At 43.3% G+C, this 27,514-nt stretch overlaps 1 protein-coding gene across 4 annotated transcripts in view, besides 1 other annotated feature; it reads right to left on the reverse strand.

Annotated features, from left to right (window-relative positions):
• The window catches only part of SORT1 (sortilin 1), an 88,344-nt gene continuing 62,047 nt past the window's right edge, over window positions 1,218-27,514 (reverse strand). For all 4 annotated transcript variants that reach the window (XM_005271100.3, NM_002959.7, NM_001205228.2 and 1 more), the window contains exons 12-20: window positions 19,142-19,244; window positions 18,635-18,803; window positions 16,542-16,732; window positions 14,575-14,764; window positions 9,496-9,612; window positions 8,493-8,601; window positions 6,315-6,421; window positions 5,904-6,027; window positions 1,218-5,700 (exon numbers count right to left, since the gene is read on the reverse strand). In XM_005271100.3, coding sequence (XP_005271157.1) covers window positions 5,686-5,700; window positions 5,904-6,027; window positions 6,315-6,421; window positions 8,493-8,601; window positions 9,496-9,612; window positions 14,575-14,764; window positions 16,542-16,732; window positions 18,635-18,803; window positions 19,142-19,244 — 1,125 coding nt within the window. In that variant the 3' untranslated portion in view covers window positions 1,218-5,685. The remainder of the gene's footprint in view (window positions 5,701-5,903; window positions 6,028-6,314; window positions 6,422-8,492; window positions 8,602-9,495; window positions 9,613-14,574; window positions 14,765-16,541; window positions 16,733-18,634; window positions 18,804-19,141; window positions 19,245-27,514) is intronic.
• Window positions 13,356-13,556: a silencer, noted in NCBI's record as "peak354 fragment used in MPRA reporter construct". NCBI's record gives its function as "represses an SCP1 promoter by STARR-seq MPRAs in K562 erythroleukemia cells {active_cell/tissue: K562}" and the evidence as "EXISTENCE:reporter gene assay evidence [ECO:0000049][PMID:32103011]".

The following is a 27,514-nucleotide window of genomic DNA, read 5'->3' on the forward strand; positions in this document are numbered from 1 at the left end:
GATCCCAGGAGCCTGTGTTATCTTGGGGTGACAGAAGCTCAGCCTCTTTGTAACTGGTATAGGAGCTAAGGCCCAGGACAATCTGTTTATTGGGGCCTTGGATGGCCTATGGGGTTGATTTGGTTGGCAGAAGACTGGGTTTTTGCCATATCAGAACTAGCTTGAAGGTCTTTCTGAACTATTTTTCCTGCTTGACCCAGCCAAGGCCCCGTAAGTGTGGACAGTCTCCTAGCCAGGAGACCCCAAATACACCCCCTTTTACACAACACGTAACCCATCTTTTGGTGAGGAAATTGGCCCAGGCTGAGTCTTAGCCCTTTGTTGGAGCGAAGGTGTAAAGAATCAACTTTAAGATGCAGGTTCCTAAGGTTTGCCCATCAGAAAGTCTAATTCAATAGGTCTGGGGTGCTATCCAGAAATCTGCACCTAAAAAAACCAACCTAGTGACTCTGGCGCAGGAAATCTTGGAATACCATGTTAGATAGAATTCCTTCAAATAAAACAACGATCTTAGATAATGTCCTGGGGTAGGAACTCGCCCATCAGATGGGCCTCAGGAACAAGGGCTTTGCCCTGTCATCTTCAGACCAAGGTGCTGGAGTATTACATGGAATATTGCCCCAGGCTAGCAGGGTAGGATGGCTAACGGTTCCAGACGGGTGGGCAGGAACCTCTCTTAAATGCTTTGCAAGAGAGGAAGGCTGCAACTCTCCAAAGGTCCTTAAATGAAAGGGACAAGAAAGGGCCCGTAAGAACAGCAAGAGAAATGTAAGAGGAGCAGATGGGAAGTTACAAAGCTGAACTTCTCAGTGCCGCCAGGGGTCAAACCTGCTCAAAAGAACACAGAATTCAAGGAGTAATTATCTGTTGCTGTGTCCAGAAGGAAGAGTGTAGCAACTGAAACCTGTGAAGGTATGTGGGGTGGGTGCCTAGACTTTCTAGGAGGAAGAACAAGAAAGCTGGTCGTATACACACCCACGGGAGGAAGATCTGTATGAGCACTAAGAGCAAGAAAATGAAGAACAAGAAAATTAGGTAATTTATGGCTCACATTTTTGTGAGACGTTTTCCTCATAGATGACCGAATACATTTCATGCTATAAATGTACAGTCCTGGCTCTTTAAATGGCTTGTTCTCTGGTTGCTGGAGTCTGATTCTGAAGCAAGAAAACTGGAAAAAGTATATCAACAAACTGTAGCTTAGTCATTTCAGTAGGTCAGGTAACAAAGTCCAGTCTGTTTTATTTTTAACCCAAATATTCCAAATATACAGAAAATTACCAGTACAAAGTTAAACACATTCAGATTTATTTACACAATGCTAAAGAAATTTGAGTTTTATTTCCATTTTGTGGAATTTTATCATGGGGTCTGGCTTTAATGTGTAACTGACGTGGGTCACTGAAACTCGATTATCCCACCTCACATGCAATTTTCTGTCCTAAGGGAATAGAAAACTTGGGTTTTTAGGGCACATGCAGTAATGATCTTAATACTGCTTTACACTTTCGTGGGAAGGCAGCTGTCCCACAGCCTGGGGAAGGACCACATGCTCAGAAAGGGAACAAGAGAGAGGGCTGAACAACAGGCACATGGGGACCCTGAGCATTTCTGTGCACGAGGATAAGGAGAGTATGACCAAAACCCTCCTCCCTAGAGGTCCAAACACAGGAGGTGGGCCAAATCATCAGGGAACAGTCAGTCACCCGCTTGTGGCTGAGGGCATGCGGAGGATGAGAACTACATTAAGGATCTGGGGCATAGCAATAAATCATTACCATGTACACTATACAGTTTATATATGTATATATGTACACACACATATATATAAAGGTACAGATTAGTTTATGTTATTCCTTATAAACAAGTACACTTAAGAATGTACTGGTGTGAAGAAATGCATACTGCAAGTTGTTTCGAATTAATGTTCTGACTCTTGTTATTATAATGCAACCTAACCAAGAAATCAACATGCTCCTGCTATTTCAATGATGCTTCATGAGGGCAAGGCCTGGGCTCTGCTAGGGCAGGATGGTGCTCCTAGAGCTACCTGAGCTGGACAAACCCATGGCAGACAGAACAGAAAGTCTGGCACCTGCTGACTCCGGCCCTCCCTGTCACTTCATCACACAGCAAATCTTAAAACTTTGGTTTTTTCAAAGAACATTTAAGTCCATGTTCATTTTCCTGCTTCAGGGAAGATGGTAGCAAAGTTGAAAGCCGAATCCCTTCCTATTTTAGCACTTCCAAGTATCCTGGATGAATATAGGGGCGAGGGGCTACACTGACAATGAGCAGGATGCACTCTAGGTCATTGTGGACAGGCACGGAGCTCTTGAGAGCACTGCTCAAAGGAAAGAGGGAATCTCTATCTGGATGGTTGGCCTGGAAACTAAATAATGACTAATGCCAGGCCAGCCCCGTTACCCTGGGGTGGGTATGGATGGCCCTGGGCTCCCCTCCGTATCCTGGTATCGTGACGAAGGCCATGAGAACCAGCTCTGGTTTACAGACTCGATGCAGGAGCTGGAGGTGGCCAGCACATTACCAGCCTGTCAAGGATGAAAGACCACCTTGGGCATGGAGAGGCCCAGAGGCAAGCATCAGAGCAAGAGAGAGGAGGTGGGAAGTCCATTCAGAGGCAGACGTAGATTCTACGTTCCAGTTACGGCTGATCTATGGACTCTCCTGAGCCCGCCCCCAGAACTGCCGCAACTCTCCAAAGGCTTTTATTCTTTGAAATAGAGTTGCCATTGAATTAAAAGCCTACAGGAGAGACGGGCCTGGTCTGTGGTCTCACTAAAGCCCAATGCCCAATTAGGTCCAGAGAAGAAAGAAGAGTGAGTTCCCTACCTGGATTTAAGAACTCGGACCACTTTGGACTGGTTTGTCCAATCTCTCTTATAATGCTAAATTCCATTGCTGAAGCCTCCAGAAATGATCTCTTCTGCTACATCAAGCCTGGGAGTTTACACAATGATACACTATGTTTTACCTTCAAAGATAATGCTCCTAACATGAGTAGGACAAATTAGAAATCTATTTTTTTAGAAGCTGTAACAGATTTGGGCTTTCTTACTCTCTGGCTGAGGGCACACATTTGTGAGTGAGCAGGTTGATAAAGAAAGCTAACTAGCCAATAATGAGAATGAGCCAGGCTGGCTGTCAGTCTTCAAACCAACAGAGCTAGCCAGCCCGGGGTGGAAACCAGGATGGGGAGGGAGACCCATCAGTGGAGAGTCCACTCCTGCACTCTTGAGCAGTGACCCTCAATGAGGGGAGGGGCAGTTTCTGCAAACGTATTTAAAATTCCCATTACTTTTGTTTTCAGCCATGAAAGACAGGAAAATACAATTTTCTGTTCACCAAGGTGGCAAAAAGGTGCTAAATACTGCTAGGAAACAAATGCCACTGATCCCTGTCATAAAGAACAGCAAGTCATCTACAAGAAGGCAGCCTTGCTCAAAGTGGTTAGCACTCGCATGTGTAAAGATTTCCAAGAGTTCTGAAGACAGCCAGCCAGCACTGCTTATCACACACACGGGGACCCTGAACAACTGACTCCATCCCAAGAACATTGTGAGGTTCAAATGACATTATGTGAGTGAAGGTGCTCTGAAAATTTGCCAAGTTCCACAGAAATCCCAGATATCATTAAAAGCGAAGAGCCCTATCGTATATGGTTAGAGAAGAATATTGAGTTTCCTACGTCTTAAAATGAGTAAGAGGATTACCATGTATTGGTGCATCTGCCCACAGTGAGTACATGCTGGGAGAAAGGTGAGTGGTATAAACAGTTCTTTTCTGAGTACCAAATTCACTTTGGGCAGGAGGGAGGGTGGGGCAGAGGCTGACGTTTTCATTTGTGAGCTGGTGTATCTTCGGAATTATTTTTAATTTTAAAACCATGCAAAATGAATAAGCAAAAAGACTAGTGCACTCCAGCCCTAACCATATTATCTTCACAAAAACTGCCTCAACTTTATTTTCTAACTGAAGCTCCCTGACTCATTTCATTCTACTGCAGTTTTAACATCTCTAAAAGTCTCCATCCACTCTCTCCCCCACTTTCCACGCAGCTGTTAATCCATTCTGGGGAGGAGAGAACTTAGCCATCTGCTCACATTCTGACTAAAGTTAATTTGGCACTTCAAATAAAAAAAAAAAAAAACACACAAAACTGACTTTCTAGCCACAAAATAAACTAGTAGCAAATGGTATCTACCAAAGAATGTCCCAGTCATAATCATTGGGAGAAACTGTGACCCGCACAGTAGCTACATTAAGACCAAAAACTTTCCATACTATATTTCTATATAGCAAATATTCAAGCTGTATTAAAACTAATTATTGCAGCTTTCCATTACTATATGGCCACCCCAAAATCCACCCAACTACATTCTATAATTTATTTAATTTAGAGAGGTATCAAATGGAAAACTTCTTTTAATCCAAAATAAGAACTTAATGTATCACACAAAGCATCATCTAGACTGGAAGTGTGTTTTCAATTGGTTCCTCCAAAATTTTCGTGTCAACAAATTACTTGGCAAAGTCAGAAAAAAGGGGTGAGAAGGAAAGCCTGGTAATAAAATTCTAATTTTTTAAGTCTATAAATCTGAAAAAATCTCTAGTCCTGGTTCCATGTACAACAGCAACCTAAGAAGCAGCAGATAGGCAGCCATTGTCATGATTTAGCAACGAGCCACACGACAGTTAAGAAGGGAACATGGAAGACTGTGAGGTTCCGTCTTCGGGGGTTCACACTGTGTACCCGACAATCAACTCTAGGGAAGAGATCATTCAGCCTGGGCAGACTTCCAGCTAAGTTTGTACCCTGTCCTTGCGTAAGTCTACTGGCACACACACAAAGCACAGCTTGAAAAATCTCAGAAGAAGCAAGAGTTCTCTTTTAATAGGTGCTATATCTAGTCAATTCTCTGCTGCTCCCTTCTTCCTGCCCCAAGTTAAAAATATTGCCCTGTAAGTTTTCCTGATGTACTGTGTGGGAAGCACATGGTTAAGTTAGTTGCCAAAGGGCAATTAACAAGGGTATTGCCTAATTAAACAAGGGAAAAGAAAAATCACTGTGGTCTGTGGTCTCTGAAAAAAAAAAAAAGAGTAAGTGGGATCTGTGTGAGGAGCTGGTGTGCAGTGTTCTTGGAGTAGGACTGTCCCCAGATGGAGAAAAGCCGGCCAGGCTGTGCCAGCCTCTGCAGCCTGTTTTCATCTCTACAGCTGTTTCGTCTCGCCAGCAGAGCCCAGGGATGGTACCAAGTACACTGTGAGAGCTGATACTGGAGTTGGCAGATGCCCTGGGGCAGGCGCCATGCAGAACACACAGAAGTGGGGTTAGTGAAAAGGTCCCTTCGAATTCCATTTCGTTTCCCTTAAAAAACAAAAACAAAAAAGCCCATACTTTGCAAAGAGACAGGACGAGAAATAAGAAGTTAAAGAATTTAAAATGTCTCCCTTTTTCTCAGAGCCAATTGTAAAAAAGTGCTCAGGGTTCCCCACCCCCACCCTGCATTTCTTTAGTGTAGGTCCTTTTGGCTTTGATGGAAGCAGCAGAAACAGAGCTGGGTCCCTCGCAATGGGAAATTTATTTCCTGAAGTTGGAGCCACAGGGAGTGTAAGAGGTACTGTGGTTCCACCATCCATGCTGGGTCCAGCTCCTCTGAAGAGCTATTCCAAGAGGTCCTGAAAAAGACATGCACCATATTACCGACAGACCACAACACTCCTATTTCAAAAGCAATCACCTAGTTTCTGGGCTTGCCAAATCTTATGGTCATTAAGTCGCCTTGGCCCTGGCATATCTTGATCATGAATAGAAGACAGACTTTATTTTCTTGTATTTTTTGGGGGGGGGGGTACTACCATTCAAGAAGAAATAGCCTCACCTCATCTGAGTCATCATGATAACCACTTTTATTAGTGTGGGAGGCTGTGTCCAAAGCATCCACACCATCCACACCATTGGCCTCTGCATGCTGCTGCAGCACAGAGTATCGATGCACCAGGAACCTGTGAACAGAAACCTCCTTAACACTCGGTGGTACACAGCAGGGGTGCACTTCTTACAGGACTGTGGACTTTCTCAGTTTTATACACTCAGGAACGCATCACAGACACAGAAAGCACAGTCCATGGTTGACATATGAAAAATGTACGACATGAGAAGATTTGGGCCTGATTTTTCAGGAACAGTACTGCAAGTACCTAGTTTTTGCCAAGAGTAGACTCAGCCATATGCCCTAGATCAGCCTTCTGGCTTGAACTCAGTACCTTGGATTGACTTCTGTGTTCCTTACCTTCCCCCACAGACATATTTCTTCACAATGAGCACTCCTGCTACGACTGTGACCAGCATCAATCCCACGATGGCCAGGATAATTGGAACAGAATTTGACTTGGAATTCTTGAGAAATTAAAACACAAACACAAAAGTTTTAGGCATGCATATCCTAGGACTGAGGTCAAGGCAGCCACTCATTCCCCTCATCTCTTTGTGAATGATCTGCAGTCCTGATGCGCTTAATGATGGCTCTTTTCCAACCCCCCAAGATGAACCATCTCAGTGTTACCAGGAGAATATTATAGCTGGCAGAGAGTCATCTTAGCTCCAACTGCCTTGAACCTTCAAATTCTGTGGTTTAAATGTCAAAGTTACACTGGAAGCCTGGGCAACTGCCTAGATCAAGTATGATTGCTTCACACTACCACTGTTCACAAGTCTTGGGGCTTAAGGGTGGAGTAGGAAAGGGAGACTACTGTAACAGTAGGCTGAATGACTCTAGAACAGGGCCATTATCTGGGAAGAAGCTGTGTCAGAAGAACCAGGCAGGCCATTATATGACACCAAGATTTATTTGTTTACTTAATTTTTTATATATTATTATAAATAAGCCTTATCATATCACTGTTTGCATGTGACCTACCTGCTTCTGGGTGGGAAATAGGGAGTGTGTGTTTTCAATGTATCCCAGAGGAGGCAGAGCTGGATTCTAGGACAAGCTGTGTCCCTGTGGGTGGGAGTCCTGTGCAATCACACACACGAACACTCTGAGGAGAGTCACCAGGAGCCCAGGACAAGGGTGCACAGAAGGAGGAACTCGCCCCCTTACCAATACACACACTCACACACTCCTCTCCCATCATCTCCTTAATCCCACCCCTTGTCAGTCCCTCATCCCTTAGAACAGCAGAGAGGAGGGACTGCAGGTGATCCAGCTTGACCTCTCCTATTACGAATTGGGAAACGGGCCTGCTGTTGAGCATCTGAAGTCATGCTGCTGGTCTAGTGTTTCATTATCAAGAGGTTTCCTCTTTACACATCTCCAGTTCCACAGGTAGTTCAGTGCTACAGATTTGGATGCAGCCTCATAACCTTTTTTTTTTTTTTTTTTTTTTAAATTGAGACAGGATCTCACTCTGTCACCCAGGCTGGAGTGCAGTGATATGATCATGGCTCACTGCAGCCTTGACCTCCCAGGCTCAGGTGATTCTCTCCCTTCAGCCTCCTGAGTAGCTGGGACTACAGGCACACACCACCACATCCGGCTAATTTTTGTATTTTTTTTGTAAAGATGGAGTTTCTCCATGTTGCCCAGGCTGCTCTCCAATTCATAGCCTCAACTGATCTCCCCACCTCAGCCTCCCAAAGTGCTGGGACTATACAGGAGTAAGCCACCATGCCCGACAGGTAACTTGCTTCATTTAAATCAAAACCAGCCCATTACCATAGCTCAATTTTTCACTTTGAACATACTTAACATGACTTGGTCAGAGATCCACCCTACCTATTGCCCAGTGCTCTTCTCTTCCACACATGCACAATTCCAGGTCATGGCCCTTCACAGACAACCTTTTTTTTTTGGTACGGAGTCTTGCTCTGTTGCCCAGGTTGGAGTGTAGCAGCACGATCTCGGCTCACTGCAACCTCCACCTCCCAGGTTCACATGATTCTCCTACCTCAGCCTCCCGAGTAACTGGGACTACAGGCGTAAACCACCACACCCAGCTAATTTTTGTAATTTTAATTTTTGTATTTTTAGCAGAGACAGGGTTTCACCATGTTGGACAGCCTGGTCTTGAACTCCTGACCTCAGTGATCTGCCTGCCTTGGACTTCCAAAGTGCTGGGATTACAGGTGTGAGCCACTGTACCCAGCCCACAGACAACCTTTTTGTTTTCCTAAATGACTCTCAGCCTCAGAAATTTCCACAACTGTATGATTTTAAGAATTTTACAACTTTACAGAATATCATCCCCCAACCCTCAATAAGAAAAGAGCTTTCAGTAGGGTGAGCTTATCACTGGGTTACATGACCCATCCTTCATGCTAACAGCTTCCTGTATAAGGGAAGCCTGAGAGAAGTAGTTTGACCACTTTTTATCAGTAACAAAACTCTTGATGCTTTAACTTTGATTTTTCTTAGCAGAACACAAAATCCCATTTGTACCTGAAAACTAGACCTATTTTAACATACCTGTTTTTCCGGACTCAAAAAGTTGCTTGTGCATTTCTTTTTCAAGTCTTTTACTTCTCGAACTGGATTTACCCCACCCTGGCATTTGTCCCCTGGAATTTTCCGGTACCTACCAGGCAAAGAAGATTTGGTAACAGAAGATAAGGATGTATTCCTGGGTACCTGCCTATTTCTTGGAAACAAGATTTGAAAAGCTGCCGAAAAGCTTCCCATCCTTACGTCATGTTTCAGGCCTGGGGGGAATGTCCACAGGGATGTTTTGGGGGATATTTTGTGTAGTTTCAGGCCTTAAGCAAACTAAGCATCTCTGTCCCCTGCTGTCAGAAACATGCCTGTTCTTTCTACCTAAGAGACTGTGCCAAAGAAATCTGACCCCAAAAAAGCTCATTAACAAGTGGTACAAAATGGGAGAGGGGAAGTTATCAGGGGAGCGAGGTAATGAGGCCCGTCTAGAGCAGCACTGTCCAATATGGTGGCTACTTAAAATTGATTAAAACGAAAATTTCAGTTCCTCGGTTACACTAGTGTCCACAGCTATGTGTGGCTAGTGACTATCATATTGGGCACAGCAAATTACAGAACACTTCCATCACCAAAGAAAGTCCTATCAGACAGAGCTCTCCCTGGCTGTGCCTAAACTGTGCCAGACGAGCGATGGACGTTCATGGCGGATGGGACGCTTCTGTCATTCTGCCTGTGGGTCCCTCGCCTCTCCTCCCTTCCTGGGGGTGGTTGGGCGGGAGGCAGGGGTGCAGGATCTGGCCGAGCTTGTTCTCCTGCTCTGCCTCGTGGTGTTGGTGGGGTTGAGTCCTCTGACACCAAGCACTCATGGCTCACCTCCTGTAGTTGACCCTTGAAGGAGGCCTTCATATCCTGCCCCTCCCCAACCCCGCCAAAAATAGTGCTCTAAAGTAGGGCTTGGATCTCAGTGTGGAGAGAAGCAGCTTTCACTCTGAACAAGAACACCTCATCCATCGTGACAAGGGAGAAAAGGCCACCTCACCCATTTGTTGTTAGGTGTTCTTCTCTTCCGTACAGACAAAACTCCAGGTCGTGGCCCTTCAGTTCTGGCTGTTCCACACACTTGGAGTCATTTTCTGGACGGTAGTAGCCAAAATCACTGCAAGAGTCAGCAAATAAAGTACCTTTCAAAGCAGCTGGAAGACCGTTAAGTGACTAGCAATGAAGGGTTATGTGGGGTAGTGGATGGTTAACATTCCAGTCTTGGGTTGTTAGAAAGTAGCTCAGGAAGTCCTGTGACACCTCTGAAGGAGGTCGATTTAGGAAAACAGACACGGAGAGGGCCTTTTTTTTTTTTTTTTGAGATGGAGTCCCACTCTCTCGCCTAGGCTGGAGTGCAGTGGCGTGTTCTTGGCTCACTGCAACCTCCGCCTCCGGCTTCAAGCGACTCTCCTGCCTCAGCCTTCTGAGTAGCTGGGATTACAGGTGCATGCCACCATGCCTGGCTAATTTTTTATTTTTAGTAGAGAGAGCGTTTCACCATGTTGGTCAGGCTGGTCTCAAACTCCTGACCTTGTGATACGCCCACCTCGGCCTCCAAAAGTGCTGGGATTACAGGTGTGAGCCACCGTGCCCCGCCAGAGAGGGCCTTATTAAGGAAAAGAAGCTTATGGGTCAGGCCTGGTGGGGGTAGGACTAGCTAGGGCCCCAAGGCTGTGCACTGCAGGCAGCTCAGGCGCAGGGAGGTGACTGATGCAGCCTGCAGAGGGGTGGAGACTCACACAGAAACCTCAGCATCAGCAGCAGCTCTCAACTCAGGGATACTTGGCAATTCTTTTCTTTTCTTCCCCCTCCCCGCTTTTTTTTTGAGACAGGGTCTCGCTCTGTTGCCCAGGCTGGAGTACAGCGGCATGAACACTGTAGCTTCAACCATCTGGGCTCAAGTGATCTTTCCGCTTCAGCCTCCCAAGGAGCTGGAACCACATGCATGCACCACCATGCTCGTCTAATTCTTTGTAAAGATGAGGTCTTGACAAATTGCTCAGGCTTGTTTTGAACTACTGGGCTCAAGTGATCTGTCCACCTCAGCCTCCCAAAGTGCTGGCATTACAGGCGTGAACCACTGTGCCTTGCTAATTTTTGTATTTTCTGTAGAAAGAGTTTTGCCATATTGCCCAGCCTGATCTCAAACTCCTGAGCTCAAGAGATCCACCTGCCTCAGCCTCCCGAAGTATTGGGATTACAGGCATGAGTCACTGTGCCCAGCCAGCAATTCTTTTCTTTACCTCCAAATGTCATTATTATGTTGCCCTTGCAGTACACGGCAAATTTTTCTGTCTTCCCCACTTCTGTTCCTCTTAGCTTCTTAGATAGTCTTTGCCTTCCATGTGAACACCTTTTTCTGTCCTCCATTCTACCCCATCTCTCCATAGTGCCACCCACTGCTCTCCTTTTCCTGTTTACCCCAAAGAAACAATGTCTGCTGACAATCTCCAGGGCTGACTCCATGAGCATCCTTGGTTCCCCTCCTCCGACCTGCCCTGGGGCCTTGCTTCCCTGAGTATGAGGGGAACAATCAATCTCTCCCACTCAGCTGGCAGCGTCTCCTTAGCCTGCATGTCTTGACCTTAGAAATTACTTCCTTAACCCACCTCTCCCTTACTACCCACATTTCTCAAAAGAATATTTTTTTACTTGTCCTATTTTACTCATTTATTTTTTCTTCCACGCATTTTGGCTTTGACCCCTTCTGCAACTTTGAAAATAAGTGTCTGGGCCGGGCGTGGTGGCTCATGCCTATAATCCTAGCACTTGGGAGGCCGAGGCAGGCGGATTACCTGAAGTCAAGAGTTCAATACCAGCCTGGCCAACATGGTGAAACCCCGTCTTTACTAGAAATACAAAAAATTAGCCAGGTGCAGTGGTGTGTGCCTATAATCCCAGCTACTCGGGAGGCTGAGGCAGAAGAATCGCTTGAACCCGGGAGGTGGAGGTTGCAGTGAGCTGAGATCGCACCACTGTACTCCGGCCTGGGCGACAGCACGAGACTCCGTCTCAAAAAAAAAAAAAAGAAAAGAAAAGAAAATGAGTGTCTGCAGTGCCCCTAAGGCTCAATAATCATCAAATTCAGTGGAGCCCTCTCGGGTCTCATTCCCCCAGACCACCCATTCTGCAGCATCTGACATACTGTTGTGCCCCTGCCAACCTTGGCATTGGTAAAGCTGCACTCATCTGTTTCTCTGCCCTCTGCTGCCCCCGCCACTGCTTGCTCTTCTTTCTTCCTAACCCATAAATGTAGTCTTTTGCCGGGGGCAGGGGGCAGGTATAATGCATTCTCTTACTTTTTCTCTATCTGCTCTCCCTTAGTGATCACAACTATTTTTGGTTGCAACTAAAACTTCCAGGTTTTACCTCTCTTGAGTTCTAATCCTATATTTCAAATACATGCTGGATATCCCACCTAAATATGCTGACAAAACCTCAAAGAAATAAGATGTTCAAAATACATCATGTTTTCTCCTTTGTGCCAGGCTCTCCTTATCATTTCCGTATTCGTCCATGACATTACCTTCCTTCCCACTATCTCAGTGGAAAATTTAGCCTGAGGATCCTCCTTCTGGGCCCTACTTACTTCTTTATCATGACTACTGTGACTTCCCCAATGGCCTATCTTCCAGGACACCCTTCCTTGATCATGCTGTTGGTGTCTCTGCTTGCAGCAGTCCACTGGCATTGATGAGCTGCTTCTTCCCAGATGCTCATGGTCAAATCCTACCATTTGTCAACGCTCAGCTCTCATACCACCTCCTCAACAAGGCCTTCTTTGACCCACTTCCTTTCAGCTCTACATGAAATGTTCTCTTCCTTTTCTAAATCCCCATGGCACCTGGCACCTTCTGTTTTGCAACAAATTTTCCATTATCACTTTTCATTACCTGCGCATAGCTGGTATTCAATGAGTATTTGGGGAATATATGGATGCTGCTTGTATTTCAAGGTTTTCCTGGTAAGTATTTAGGAGAGAGGGTATGGAGAACAAAAGATGCTGAAGATATCACCCCTCAAATAACAGGAGGAAATTCGGATAAGAGTTTTAGGTATTCAATCAGAAATTTCTGGATTTTTGTGAGTACCCTTCTCACTCATAAAGGACCCACTTCCCAAACATGTGGGCTCTGGAGTTGGGATGCCAGTTTCACATCCCAGCTCTGCCACTTCCCACGGGCATATCAGTCATGTCCTCTCTGTTGCGAGGTTAAATGTAAATTGCTTAGGATAGTGCCTAGTATAAAGTTAGTGCTCAATAAATGTTAGCTGCTATCATGATTACTATATTATTATCGAATAGAATATGCTTCCAAGGAATTTGGGGCTTAATGATGGAAGCAAACCTATAAATAGTAATTAAAATTTAGTAAGTGCTGTAATAGGGGAACTCTGGGGGTCTAGATGAGGGAAAGCCCATCTAGTGGTGATACCTGAGCTAAGTATGAAAGGCTAAGTGGGAAGTCGCCAGACTTGGGGGTGAAGCAGGGACTGTGGAAAGACTTTTCAGGCAGAGGGAGCATCATGTGCGGTGGCATGGAGGTCTGAAAAACCATGGCACTGCTGGAGAAGAGCAGAAGCACAGGTGAAGAGCTTGGCATATTTGGAGTCGAGGATAGGAGAGAACCCTTTACAGTGTTACAGGTTTATCGATGACCTCCAGCCCTACTGGAACACCAAAGGTGATCCTTACTGAAACAGAGAAGGGAGGACCCTTAATCATGCCACACACAGGTGTGAGCCATGCAGGAGAAACCACACTGGGTCAGACCTGCATTTTGGTCAGACCTATATTCTACTGTCACCTGCGATTTGAGAGAACATGACATAAAGGGCCATGGCTGCTATCTGCCTGCCTTCTTTGTCCAAATCCTTTAGGATCTACTTTTATCTTGTGTCAGTATCTTTTGCAGGTAACAAGTTCCAAAAGATTATCATCTGTGATGTGAAGCAGTTCCTCTTATTTGCCCAAAAATTACCTCATTTAAGCTATCCAGGGACTCATGCCCTTATATAATCAACTAACCCAATGCCAGCCAAGTAACTAATCCTTAAGTCTGGATGGTCCTGAACTCTAGGGAGTCCACTTTGATGGCCTCTAAACCTTGATGGGACCATGACTATACTGATGTCACCTCTAGTCTCAGGACCAACCACCATCTCTCTGCCTTGATTCTTGCAGAGGATCCAAAACCTAGTGTCTGCCTGCTGAGCTCATGCTGTCAAGGGGTTTTCTTTTTCTTTCTTTCTGTTTTTTTTTTTGTTTGAGACAGGGTCTCATCATATTGCCCAAGCTGGTCTCAAACTCCTGAGTTTAAGCAATCCACCCGCCTCGGCCTCCCAAAGTGCTGGGATTACAGGCATGAGCCACCGTGCCTGGCCTCAGGCTGTTTTCTAAAGTCCAATTTCCTCTTTGCTCCTCTACCACTTCTTTTGGTGTTTCTGTCTTTTCATTTTCTACAGATTTTTGTTTGTTTTATTCTCTTCTTTCTTATATCACTCCTCTCCTTCACACCACTGTCAACTCAGGATTTCTCGGGTTTGTTGCTGGTTCTGCCCAATAATTAACTGTCTAATACGTGCTATCTGTTTCATTATTAACAATTCTGGTTTCCTTTCTCTGTGCCTCAGCTTCCTTGATAAGAAGCAGCAGTTCTCCACTCTTGGGGGAAAGGGTTTCAGTTTTTTTTGGGACAAGAGTCTTGCTCTGTCCCCCAGGCTGGAGTGCAATGGCATGATCTCAGCTCACTGCAACCTCTGCCTCCCAGGTTCAAGTGATTCTTGTGTCTCAGCCACCTGAGCAGCTTGGGATTATAGGCGTGCGCCACCATGCCCTGCTAATTTTTTTTTGTTTGTTTGTTTTTTGTAGAGATAGGGTTTCACCATGTTGACCAGGCTGGTCTCGAACTCCCGGCCTCAAGTGATCTGCCTGCCTTGGCATCCCAAAGTGCTGGGATTACAGGTGTGAGCCACCGCACCCGGCTGGATTTCAATATTTGTTAGCCCTATAAGAAAACTGTCTTTCACCTCCTCCAACAGGGAAAGGGAGACAGAGAAATCTGAGGAATGCTGATACCAGAGAAAGTCCTCCAGGGAACAGAGGCAGATGGAGGGCTGCTTGGTCACAACATAGTCTCGACCATTCTGACACACGGATGACTTGCGTAGCCGCAGAAACTGTTCTTTGTAGCCCAAAATGCAGCCATCTTCATAATCTTCAGGGTCTGTGGAGTGTGCCAGCCATATGGTATAGTCCTTCTCTTCACCTAAAGGAGAGACACACTGTTCAGGAAAGTACACAGCACAGAACCCACCCACGGGAGGCAGCTGCCAGGCTATAGGAAGAACAAGGAGAGGGAAAGTGGGAATGTCTGACTCAACCTATTCCTTCATTTTGGAATTGCAAACAAAAAGTTACACTAGTCTAGAGCCTACTAGCAATCGCATTTCCTCATGCCAAAAGAGTATTCCTTCCATCTCAACATCCATCTGAGGATTAGGAAAAACCCTATTTGTTTTGAAGTGGGAAGCTGGATAGAAAATCTCTCAAGTTCCTTCCAAACTAAGAGGCTGCTGTGTGTGTCTTGCACACCTACGCCCTCAGTCAGTAGGAGCTGTCAGAGGTAAGCAACCAGATATTCTCCACTCAGGACCAGGGAGCTCTTTGTTTAGGACAAGATACTAATTAGCCAAGAGCACAGGTTCAATTTCACCATGTGTTCATTGGCTTAAGGAAGAAGGGAAAACATCCTTTTCCTAGACTTCTAGCTCAGTTGACCGGCTCTCAAATGCATATTGCTGATAAACCTAGTTTCTGGCTTAGTATGTCGTATCATCTACTGGAAAAATGACTCAAAGGCTGTGACCTAAAGACAGTGGATTAGGTTTTATCCTTTGGGATATGAAGACCAGCATACAGCCTGCTAAAGAGCAGGTGCTTAACAAATCTTTTAATGACATTACACTTTAGGGGTAACTGGGAGCTGCCTGCTGAGGGGAGAACTCCCAAGCCAGCTTCTGTACAGTCTACTGAATGGATTTAGATGACAGCGACCCTCAGGCATTAAATCTATTTGAACGTCTTATGGAAATGTGAGGTCCAAACCAAGGGTCTGCTCCTTCAGGAGTCACTAAATCAACACGCTGAGGAAATGAGCCCACGACAGTCTCAAAGGACCAAATTCAACTAGAGTGTCTAGAAACGTTAAGTCTTTTATTGTATTATGCCAACACTTAACTACAGGTCATCCTTTTTCCAGTGTTTTTCTTTATCCCCCTTCTTTTTTTTTTGAGACAGAGTCTTGCTCTTGTCGCCCAGGCTGGAGTGCAATGGCATGATCTTGGCTCATTGCAACCTCTTCCTCTCGGGTTCAAATGATTCTCCTGCCTCAGCCTCCCAACTAGCTGGGACCCGCCACCTTACAGGCACCCGCCACCTTACCTGGCTAATTTTTCTATTTTTAGTAGAGATGGAGTTTCGCCCTGTTGGCCAGGCTGGTTTCGAACTCCTGACCTCGTGATCTGCCTATCTTGGCCTCTCAAAGTGCTAGGATTACAGGCATGAGCCACCGCGCCTGGCCATTCCCCTTATTTCTTAGCATAATGCCAGCATCTTTGTTTGGCAGTGAGGTTAGGGTTTGCTTGTGACACTTTGGAAACACTGTGCAATGAACATTGTGAATCCTTTTCTGAACCTATTTTCTGGGCCGTTAATATTGCTTAATGTTGAAATGATAATATTTTGGATATATTAAGTTTATTTTATTAATATCACCTTTCTTTTTACTTTTATAATATAGCTGACAGAATAATTTAAATGACATATGTGGCCCTCATATTTCTCCTGGACAGTGCTAGCACCGAGGAGGAGGTTGTTTTTCTGATGCCATTCCATTACTTAATCACCCACACAGAACATCTGTCAATCCTCTTTCATATGCATATGCATCTGCTGATTCCAGCTAAAAGAAATTAAACCATATTGATTATTTAGGAAAATGGACTTGGAAGTTTCTGGTAGAAAAGGTCAAAGGAGACACTCACAGTTCCTTTCAAGGATATCTTTAAAATCAATGGTGTAGGAGACCCACTGGCTGGTCAGGAAAGATTCTGTGAAGCCCCAAATGCTGATATTCATGGACCTAGCTCCAGGTTCTGAAGCTAGGCCAGTGAAATAGATGGGGTCCCTGGTGAACGTGTAGGTTTGCCAGCATTGACCTTCGTCTGTGGAGAACCTGAAACCACAATTACAGAAAGATCATGACAGAGGATCAATGTGTACTGGGAATTCAGAAAACCACTCTGGCTTTTTGATCCCAAACCAGACAAAACCCCTTACATTTAGGTGGTGGCTTATTGGCTGACAATTATTTTAACTTTTTTTTTTTTTTTTTTTTTTTCTGAGATGGAGTCTCACTCTGTCACCGGGCTGGAGTGCAGTGGCGCGATCTCGACTCACTGCAACCTCTGCCTCCTGGGTTCAAGTGATTCTCTCTCATGCCTCAGCCTCCTGAGTAGCTGGGATTACAGGAACGTGCCACCACACCAGCTAATTTTTGTATTTTTAGTAGAAATGGAGTTTCACATGTTGGGCAGGCTGGTCTTGAACTCCTGACCTCAGGTAATCTTCCCACCTTGGCCTCCCAAAGTGCTGGGATTATAGGCGTGAGCCACCGCACCCAGCCAACTATTTTAACTTTTAACGTCTGTAGTTAACAGGATAAGGAAGAGATTTGTTCAGAGAGAATATGAAAGTAAATACCTTTACAGAAATTATTTCAAAGGAAAGACAGGAGAGTGACCCAGGTAAGAACTGGCTTTTAAATTAATAAATTTAAGGCTGGCTGTGGTGGCTCACGCCTGTAATCCCAGAATTTTGGGAGGCTGAGGCAGGTGAATCACCTGAGGTTAGGAGTTCGAGACCAGCCTGACCAACACAACAAAACCCCGTCTCTACCAAAACACAAAAAACAAAGCAAAACAAAAAACCACAAAAATTAGCTGGGTGTGGTGGTGCATGCCTGTAATCTCAGCTGCTCAGGTGACTGAGACGCAAGAATCATTTGAACCTGGGAGGCAGAGGTTGCAGTGAGCCAAGATTGCACCATTGCACTCCAGCCTGGGTGACAAGAGCAAAACTCCATCTCAATAAATAAATAAATAAATAACAATCAAATTATTTTATAAGAACTTATACTTCTTTTTTTTTTTTTTTTGAGACGGGATCTCACTCTGTCACCCAGGCTGGAGTGCAGTGGTACGATCTCAGCTCACTGTGGCCTTGACCTCCTCAGGTGATCCTCCCACCTCGGCCTCCCAAGTAGCTGGAACCAAAGGCGTGCACCACCACGCCCAGCTAATTTTTCTTTTTTTTTTTTTGTGGAGACAGGGTTTTGTCACATTGCCCAGGCTGGTCTTGAACTCTTGGGCTCAAGCAATCCACCCACCTTGGCCTCTCAAAGTGCTGGGATTACAGGTGTGTGCCTCTGCACCCAGCTCAGAACTTGTACTTAAGAAGTCATTTTCAATCTAGAGTGCTTGAACGCTTCCATAATAATTTTGTAGACAGAAAGAATATATATATATATATATATATATATATATATATATACATACACACACACACACACATATATATACACACATATATACACACATACACATATATATACACATATATATACATATATATACACATATATATACACACACACACATACATATATACACACACACATATATATATATATGGTTTTTTTTTTGATTGAAATAATATTAGAGACAAGGGACAAGGTCTCCCTATGTTGCCCAGGCTGGTCTTGAACTCCTGGCCTCAAGCGATCCTCCTGCTTTGGCCTCCCAAAATGCTGGGATTACAGGCATGAGCCACTGCGCCCAACCCAGAAAGAATGTTTTTAAGAAGTGACAAATATGTTAGCTAAAGGCAGTCAGAAGAAAAAACAATGCCATTTAATCTGAGTTGCCAATTAAAAGCAATCCTTTCTAGAATCTTATCTATAGTTCTGTCAAATGCAAAAATTTGAATTATAGTCTGTAACATCCCCCCAATAAACTGAAGAACATTCCCCCAGTTGCCCTCTATGCAGACAGTGTGTGTGAGATGAGTTCATGCATACTTAATCACATTGATAGGACGGCTGCTGTGCTCAATGGCCACAATGATGCCTCCAGAATCCAGGATGGTGTAATAGTGGGGTCCTTCCAGCATCTTTGTCCAGGAGTAACCCCCATCATCTGAGATGTACACATCTGGAACCATCACTGAGATGGCATCCCCCACGCTACCTGCAATATAATCCACCATCTCATTAGCACAAATAGGCAATGAAACAGAGAGCATTTACTCCAGAGAGAATAATGTTGAATGAATTTATTCTGATTATTTCCCATCAAGCCTCTTTTAGTAGGAAAGAAAACCACCAAAAACTTCGGAGAAGTTGTGTTGCTCTCTCTGATAAAAGTTGATGAAAAACCCAAAGTGTTGTTATAATGTAAGAAATTCTACCAAAGGAATGTAAAAGCATCCACATTGTTTCTTCTCAGAGCGTTCAAAGCCTGTTGGCTGAGTTTCAGTGTGCTCAGCCACTGTTCCAGTTGGAGGTGGTGAGTGGGAGGTTCCTTACCATGAGCAATGACAATGCCTACGGCATTCGGCTCTGAGAGTGGGGCCATTGGAACATTCAGTTTCTGGGAGATGCTGTAGGAAGCATGAATATGAAGGCTGCACTGTGAAAAGAAACAAAAGCGTAGATTAGAACCAAAGATAAAGATACAATTTCTTTAATCATTTCACAAAACCCTTCCAATAAAGCTTTAAGTTAACCCAGACCTAGGTAAAAGTACTATCTTAACTATTTATTTACTATTTAGGTGTATAGTTCAGTAGTGTTAAGTATATTCACATTGTTGTACAACCACATCTCTAAACTTTTTCATCTTATAAAATACAATCACCAATTAAGCAACTGTTACCTACTTCTTCCTCCTCCCAGCTCCTGGAAACTACCATTTTACTTTGTGTTTTCTATGATTTTTACCATATTACTTTGTGTTGGCTACTCTAGGTAGCTCATATAAGTAGAATCACATAATATTTGTCATTTTGTGTCTGACTTATTTCACTTGGCATAATGTCCTCAAGGCTCATCCATGTTGTATTAATAGCATATGTCAGAATTTCCTCCCTTTTAAAGGCTAAATATTATTTAAGTGTGTGTGTGTATCTGTATCCACACACACCCCACACTTTATTTACTCATTTATCTGTCAATAGACACAAGTTGCTTCTACCTTTTGGCTATCATGAATAATGTTGCTATGTACATGGTTGTACAAATATCTTTTTGAGAACCTGCTTTCAACTCTTTTGGATGTATAATCCAGAAGTGGAATTGCTGGATATGATAATCCTATTTTTAATTTTTTTTAGGAACTACTATGCTGTTTTCTGTAGCAGCTGCACCATTTTACATTTTCACCAAAAGTGCACCAGGGCTCCAATTTCTCCATATCCTTGCCAACACTTTTTAAAATAGTAGCCACCCTAATCTGTGTGAGGAGATACCTCATTGTGGTTTTGACTTGCATTTTCCTAATGATTAGTGATGCTGAGCCTCTTTTTATATGCTTGTTAGTCACTTCTATATTGTGTTTGGAGAAATGTCTATACAAGTTCTTTGCCTATTTTTTATTCAGGCTATTTGTTTGTTGTTGAGTTGTAGCTCAGTGGCATACTCTTGATTCTGAAATGTACTACAATATCTGGAAGCAAATATTTCCTCATGGGTAACCTGTCTCCGTTTATTTTATTTTTGCATTACATCAAAGCCTCTGAACAATGTTTAAAGGCTGACTCTACACAAATAAACTTGATAAGCACCTGATATACTTCAGACACCGTACAAGATGTGATGGTGGTTCGAAATAAGATCCAGTCTTGTCTTTAAGAAACTTAAAGGCTCCAGGTCCACTCTCACAGACCCAGCCAAGTGGACCCCTGCATCAGGCCAGCCCCTGCAGGCTCAGGGTAGGGCCCACCCCTGCACCAGGCTGGCTCCTGCAGATCTACTTACCGGGCTCCAGGTGTTTCACCTGAAGACCCACTTAAAAGGTCCACCCTAGTGGATTCCACTGCCAGGCCTGCCGCAGAGGACCCAGCCTCCAAGCTACCCCCAAAGACCAAGGCACCAGGCCCACCTACCTGCAGAACCTGTCAGTTGCCCCCCCAAGAATCTCTGGATGAGCTACCTGGTAAGGGCTTCCCCTGCTGAAGCCATCTGTAAAGGCCTATGTGTGTAAGAGGACACATAGGCTAAAAGTAGAGATAAAAAAAAGATATTCCACTCAAATGGTAGCCAAAAGAGAGCAGGGGTGGCTATATTTATTTATTTATTTTTGAGACGGAGTGTCGCTCTGCCACCCAGGCTGGAGTGCGGTGGTGCCATCTCAGCTCACTGCAAGCTCTGCCTCCTGGGTTCATGCCATTCTCCTGCCTCAGCCTCCCAAGTAGCTGGGACTACAGGCGCCTGCCACCACACCCGGCTAATTTTTTGTATTTTTAGTAGAGACAGGGTTTCACCATGTTAGTGAGGACGGTCTTGATTTCCTGACCTCGTGATCCGCCCGCCTTGGTCTCCCAAAGAGCTGGGATTACAGGCGTGAGCCACCATGTCCAGCCGGGGGTGGCTATATTTATATCAGACAAAATAGACTTTAAGTAAAAAACTATCACAAGGGATAAAGAAAGTTACCACACAATGATAAAGGTGTCAATTCATCAAGAGCATATAACATTGGTAAATATAAATGCACTCAACATTAGAGCACCTAAATGTATAAAGCAAACATTAACAGAACTGAAGAAAGAGGTAGACGACAATACAATAATAGTAAGGGACTTCAATACTTACTTTCAATGATAGATCATCCAGACAGAAAACCAGTAAGGAAAGAGCAAACTTGAACAACACCATACAAATGGACCTAACAGACATATACAGAACATTCTATCCAATAGCAGCAGAATATACATTCTTTTCAAGTGCACAGAGAATATTCTCCAGGATAGTGCATATGTTAGGCCACAAAACAAGCCTTAACAAATGTAAGACTGAAATCACCTCAAGTATCCTTTCTTTTTTTTTTGAGACGGAGTCTCACTCTGTCACCTGGGCTGGAGTGCAGTGGCGTGATCTTGGCTCACTGCAAGCTCCGCCTCCCGGGTTCAAACAATTCTCTGCCTCAGCCTCCTGAGTAGCTGGGATTAAAGGCACCCGCTGCCACGCCCAGCTATTTTTTTTTTGTATTTTTAGTAGAGACCAAGTCGGCCAGGCTGGTCTTGAACTCCTGACCTCGTGATCCACCCACCTCAGCCTCCCAAAGTGCAAGGATTATAGGCGTGAGCCAGTGTGCCTGGCCTCAAGTTCTTTTCAACTACAACATTATGAAACTAGAATCAGTAAAGGGAGGAAAATTGGAAAATTCACATGAATGTGGAAATTGAACAACATATTCTTGAACAACCAATGAGTCAAAGGGAAATAAAAAAAACTTGAGACAAATGAAAAGGGAAACACAACATATTAAAACTTAAGGGATGCAGCAAAAGCAGTTCTAAGAAGAAAGTTTATGGTGATAAATGTCTACATTAAGAAAAAAGAAAAATCTCAAAAATCTTAACTTTATACCTCAAGGAACTAGAAAAAGAACAAACTAAGCCCAAAGTTAGCAGAAGGGAGGAAATAATAACAGAGCAGAAATAACTGAAATAGAAGTTAGAAAAATAACAGGAAAGATCAATGAAACTTAGAGTTGTTTTTTTTGACAAGATAAAAAAGTGACAAACTTTTAATTAGAATAAGAAAAAAAGAAAAGACTCAAGTAAAATCAGAAATGTAAGAGGAGACATTATAACTTATACTACAGAAAAAACAAAGGATCCTAAGAGACTACTATGAACAACTATACATCAACAAATTGGATAATCTAGAAAAAAATGGATGAATTTCTAGACATATACAGCTTACCAAGACTGTATCATGAAGAAGAAATAGAAAATCTGAACATACTAATATGAGTAAGGAGGCTCAATCAGTAATCAAAAACCTCCCAACAAGAAAAGCCTAGGACCTGATGGATTCAATGGTGAATTCTAGCAAACTTTCTTCAAAGAAGAATTAAGACCGATCCTTCTCAAACTCTTCCAAAAATTGAAGAGAATGGAACACTTCCAAACTCATTTTATAAGGGTGGTATTACCCTGCTACCAAAACCAGACAAGGACACTAGAAGAAAACAAAATTACAGGTCAATATCTCTGATGAACATAGATGCAAAAATTCTCAACAAAATACTAACAAACTGAATTCAACAGCATATTAAACAGATTATATACCATGATCAAGTAGGATCTATCTGTGGAATGCAAGGATGGTTCAACATATGCAAATCAATAAATGAGATATGCCACATTAATAGAATGAAGGATAGAAATCATATCATCTTGATAAATCCAGAAAAAGCACTTAACAAATTTCAACACCCATTCATGATAAAAACTCTCAATAAATTAGGTATAAAAGGGATATACCTCAACATAATAAACCCATTCATGATAAAAACTCTCAATAAATTAGGTATAAAAGGGATATACCTCAACATAATAAAGGCTATATGTGACAAGCCCACAGCTAACATCATACTCAAACAGTCAAAAGCTAAACCTTTTCCTCTAAGATCAGGAATAAGACAAAGATGCCCATTCTCACCACTTCTGTTCATTATAGTAATGGAAGTCCTAGCTGGAGCAATTAAGTAAGAAAAAGAAATAAAAACAAAAAGCATCCAAACCAGAAAGAAAGAGGTAAAATTGTCTGTCTGCAGGTGACATGAGCTTATATATAAAAATCCTTAATCTTTAAAGACTCCACCAAAAATGTTAAAACTAATAAATTCAAAAAAGTTGCAGAATATAAAATCAACATATAAAAATACAATATACACTAACAACAAACTATCCAAAAAAGAAATCAAGAAAATTTCATCTACAATAGTACAAGAAAAAAACTTAAAAAAAAAAAACAAAAAAAACTTAGGGATAAATTTAACCAAGGAGGTGAAAGACTAAAAACTACAAAACATTGATGAAAGAAATTGAAGATGACAAAAAAAAAAAAAAGGAAATATATCCTATGTTCCTGGATTGGAATAATTAATATTGTTAAAATGTCCATACTACCCAAAGTGATCTACAGATTAAATGTAATGCCTATTATTTTGACTGTCTTTTTTTACTATTATATGGTTATAAATAACCCTCTTTCTGTGACAACACAGAACAATCCAAACACGTTAATTCATCAGATGTTTACTGAGTACCTGCTATATTTCAGGCACTGTTTTAGGTACTTAAGGTACATCAAGAACAAAACAACCAGTTGTGGTGGCTCACATCTGTAATCCCAGCTGAGAGGCTGAGGTGGTAGGATCACTTGAGGCCAGGAGTTCAAGACTAGCTTGGGCAACATGGTGAAACCCCATCTCTACCAAAAAGTACCAAAATTAGACAGGTGTGGTGGTACACACCTAGCTACTTGGGACGTGGGAGGATTGTGTGAGCCTAGGAGTTTGAGGCTGCAGTGACCTATGATTATTCCACTGGACCCCAGTCAGGGTGACAGACTAAGACTTTGCCTCTTAAAAAAAATTCCAATGGTATTTTTCACAGAAATAGAAAAAATCCTAAAATTTATATGGAACCACAAAAGACCCTGAATAACCAAAGTAATTGCAAGCAAAAAGAACAAAGCTGGGGGTATCATGCTACCTAATTTCAAAATATATTATTGAGCTATAGTAATCAAAACAGCATGGTACTGGCGTTAAAAACAAATAGACCAATGGAACAGAATAGAGAGCACAGAAATAAATCTATGCATTTATTGTCAACTTAACTTTGACAAGGGTGTCAAGAACACACAATGTGAAAAAGACAGCCTCTTAAATAAACGGTGCTGGGAAAACTGAATATCTATATGCAGAAGAATAAATTTCAACCCTTCTTTCTTTTTTTTGAGATGGAGTCTTGCTCTGTCGCCAGGCTGGAGTGCAATGGTGCGGTCTCGGCTCACTGCAACCTCCGCCTCCCAGGTTCAAGCAATTCTCCTGCCTCAGTCTCCCAAGTAGCTGGGACTACAGGTGCACATCACCATACCCAGCTAATTTTTGTATTTTTGGTAGAGACGGGATTTCACCATGTTGGCCAGGATGGTCTCGATCTCCTGACCTCGTGATCCACCCTCCTTGGCCTCCCAAAGTGCTGGGATTACAGGCGTGAGCCACCACACCTGGCCTCAATCCTTATTTCATGTCATGTACAAAAATCAACTCAAAATGGATTAGAGACATAAATGTAAGACTTGAAACTGTAAAACTACTAGAAGGAAATATAGGGAAAAAAGCTTCTTGACATTCATCTGGGCAATGGCTTTTTGGATACGACCCTAAAAGCACAGGCAACAAAAAACAAAAACAGACAAATCAGATTGTATCAAACTAAAAAGCTTCTGCAAAATAAAGGAAACCACCAAAAGAGAGAAGACAAACAATACACAGAATGGGAGAAAATACTTGCAAACCATACATCTTATAAGGGGTTAATATCCAAACAAATCAGTAGCAAGAAAACAAATAATCCAACTAAAAAATGGGCAAAGGACCTGAACAGCCATTTATCAAAAGAAGACATATAAATGGCCAACAGGTATACGAAAAAATGCCCAACATCACTAATCATGAGGGAAATACAAATAAAAACCACAATGAGATATTATCTCACCCAAGTTAGAATGGCTATTATCAAAGAGATAAAAGGTAAGTATTGGCAAGGACATGGAAAAAAGGGAACCCTGTACACTGTTGGTGGGAATGTAAACTGGTACAGCCATTATGCAATACCGTAAGAAATTTTCCTAGAAAATGAATAACAGCAGGGCCGAGCATGGTGGCTCATGCCTGCAATCCCAGTACTTTGGGAGGCAGAGGCGGGTGGATCACGAGGTCAGGAGTTCGAGACCAGCCTGGCCAATATGGTGAAACCCCGTCACTACTAAAGACACAAAAAATTAGCCGGGCGTGGTGGCACATGCCTGTAATCTCAGTTACTTGGGAGGCTGAGGCAGGAGAATCACCTGAACCCGGGAGGCGGAGGTTGAAGTGAGCCAAGATCGTGCTATTGTACTCCAGCCTTGGTGACGGGGCAAGACTGTGTCTTTAAAAAAAAGAAAAAAAAGAAAATGAAGGACAGAACTACCAGCAATCCCATTTCTGGGTTCATATTCAAGAGAAATGAAATCGGTATGTCCAAAAGATATCTGTGCTCCCATGTCCACTGCAGTATTATTCACAATAGCCAAGCTACAGAATCAACCTAAGCGTCTACAGATGGATGAATGGACAAAGAAAATGGAATATTATTCAGCCTTAAAAAAGAAGGAAATCCTGTCATCTGTTGAAAACATGAACCTGGGAGGCATTATGTTAAGTAAAATAAGCCCAGCACAGAAAGACAAATACTGCATGATCTCATTTATAAGTGGAATGTAAAAATGTCAAACTCACAGAAGCAGGGAGTAGAATGGTGGCTTTTGGGGCTTGGGGTATGGGGAGATGAAGGCCAAAGGGTACATAGTTTCAGTTATGCAGGATGAATAAGCTTCTGAGGGAAAATATACATGGTGACTACAGTCTAGAATACTGTATTGTTACTTGAAGTTTGCTAAGAGAATAGATCCTAAATGTTCTCACCACACACACAAAAGATAATTGTGAGGTGATGCATATGTTAGTTAGCTTGATTGTGATAATCATTTCACAATGTATATATATATCAAAACATCACAGTGTACATTGTAAATATACAATTTTTGTCAATTATGCCTCCATAAAGCTGGGGAAAAAAGAAATGTATTGTCAGAAACTAGTTGAGGTATACAGCCGAATGAAAGTTAACACTCTAAAAAGGGTTCAAAATGGCTAAAATGATAATAAATATTATATTATGTATATTTTACTACTATTTTTTTAAAAAGAAGAGGTTCAAGCAAACTATTAATGAAATGAAGAGGAATGATTAGCTCTAACTGGATGGTCACTGAGGGTGGTTAGAATTTCCACCAATCCTAGTCAACTGGGGTTGGGGGAGACAGGCCCAACTTCCTCCAGGAATAGTGTGGGTGTTCAGGGAATGGCAGGGGGTTGGTTACAAGGGGTGTGTCAGGGATAAGGTGAGCAATGACAATGAAAAGGTGGCAGAGGGCCCACCAGGAGAGAACCTTTACTCACCAGGTCAGGGACAGAGGCCATTCATCACAGGCCAAGAGAGCCACAACGAGCGCTGGGCAGGGAGAGGCATGGGGAGCCTGCAGGCAGCAAGGCAAACACAGAGGCCACTGAACCTGCCCAGGCTTAAGGTGAGGAGGGCAGTGGCTGGGCAGGGCCAAGGCAGACAGATGGGAAACAGGGGTCAGAAAGTCGGGTAGATGCAACAGTGCTTGCGAGTGTAAAGGAGGAGAGTGTGTTGGGGTGGTGTAGGAAGGCACACTTTCTCTCATCATTTGAGGCTCTTAAAACAAAACAGAAAACCCCACCTAGAAAAGCAAAGTGTATGTCAGTGATACAGATACTAAGGAGGGTTCGGGAACTACCGGTACTTCAGTTTCTGAAGGAACTCCAGCTGTCCCCCAAGCTCACATTCTGTGAGAGCCAGATAAAAAGCTTGTTTTTTTTTTCCCTTTTTTCCTTGCCTGCCAAGGCCTGTCACTCCAGGCTTTAGATCTCCTGGAGTGACACCTGCGTAGTTCCGGTTCCCAAACTCTCTGCAACAGGGGCTGCCTTGCGTCCCTGTGCACTAAGCAGGTCACCACCCACTGGCCATGGGAGCCTAGGCAGAGGGAAAGGAAGGCCAGATCCTCTTCCTCTTGTTTCCGATGAGCAAGGCT

Source organism: Homo sapiens, chromosome 1 (assembly GCF_000001405.40).
Source record: "Homo sapiens chromosome 1, GRCh38.p14 Primary Assembly".
Lineage (NCBI taxonomy): Eukaryota > Metazoa > Chordata > Mammalia > Primates > Hominidae > Homo > Homo sapiens.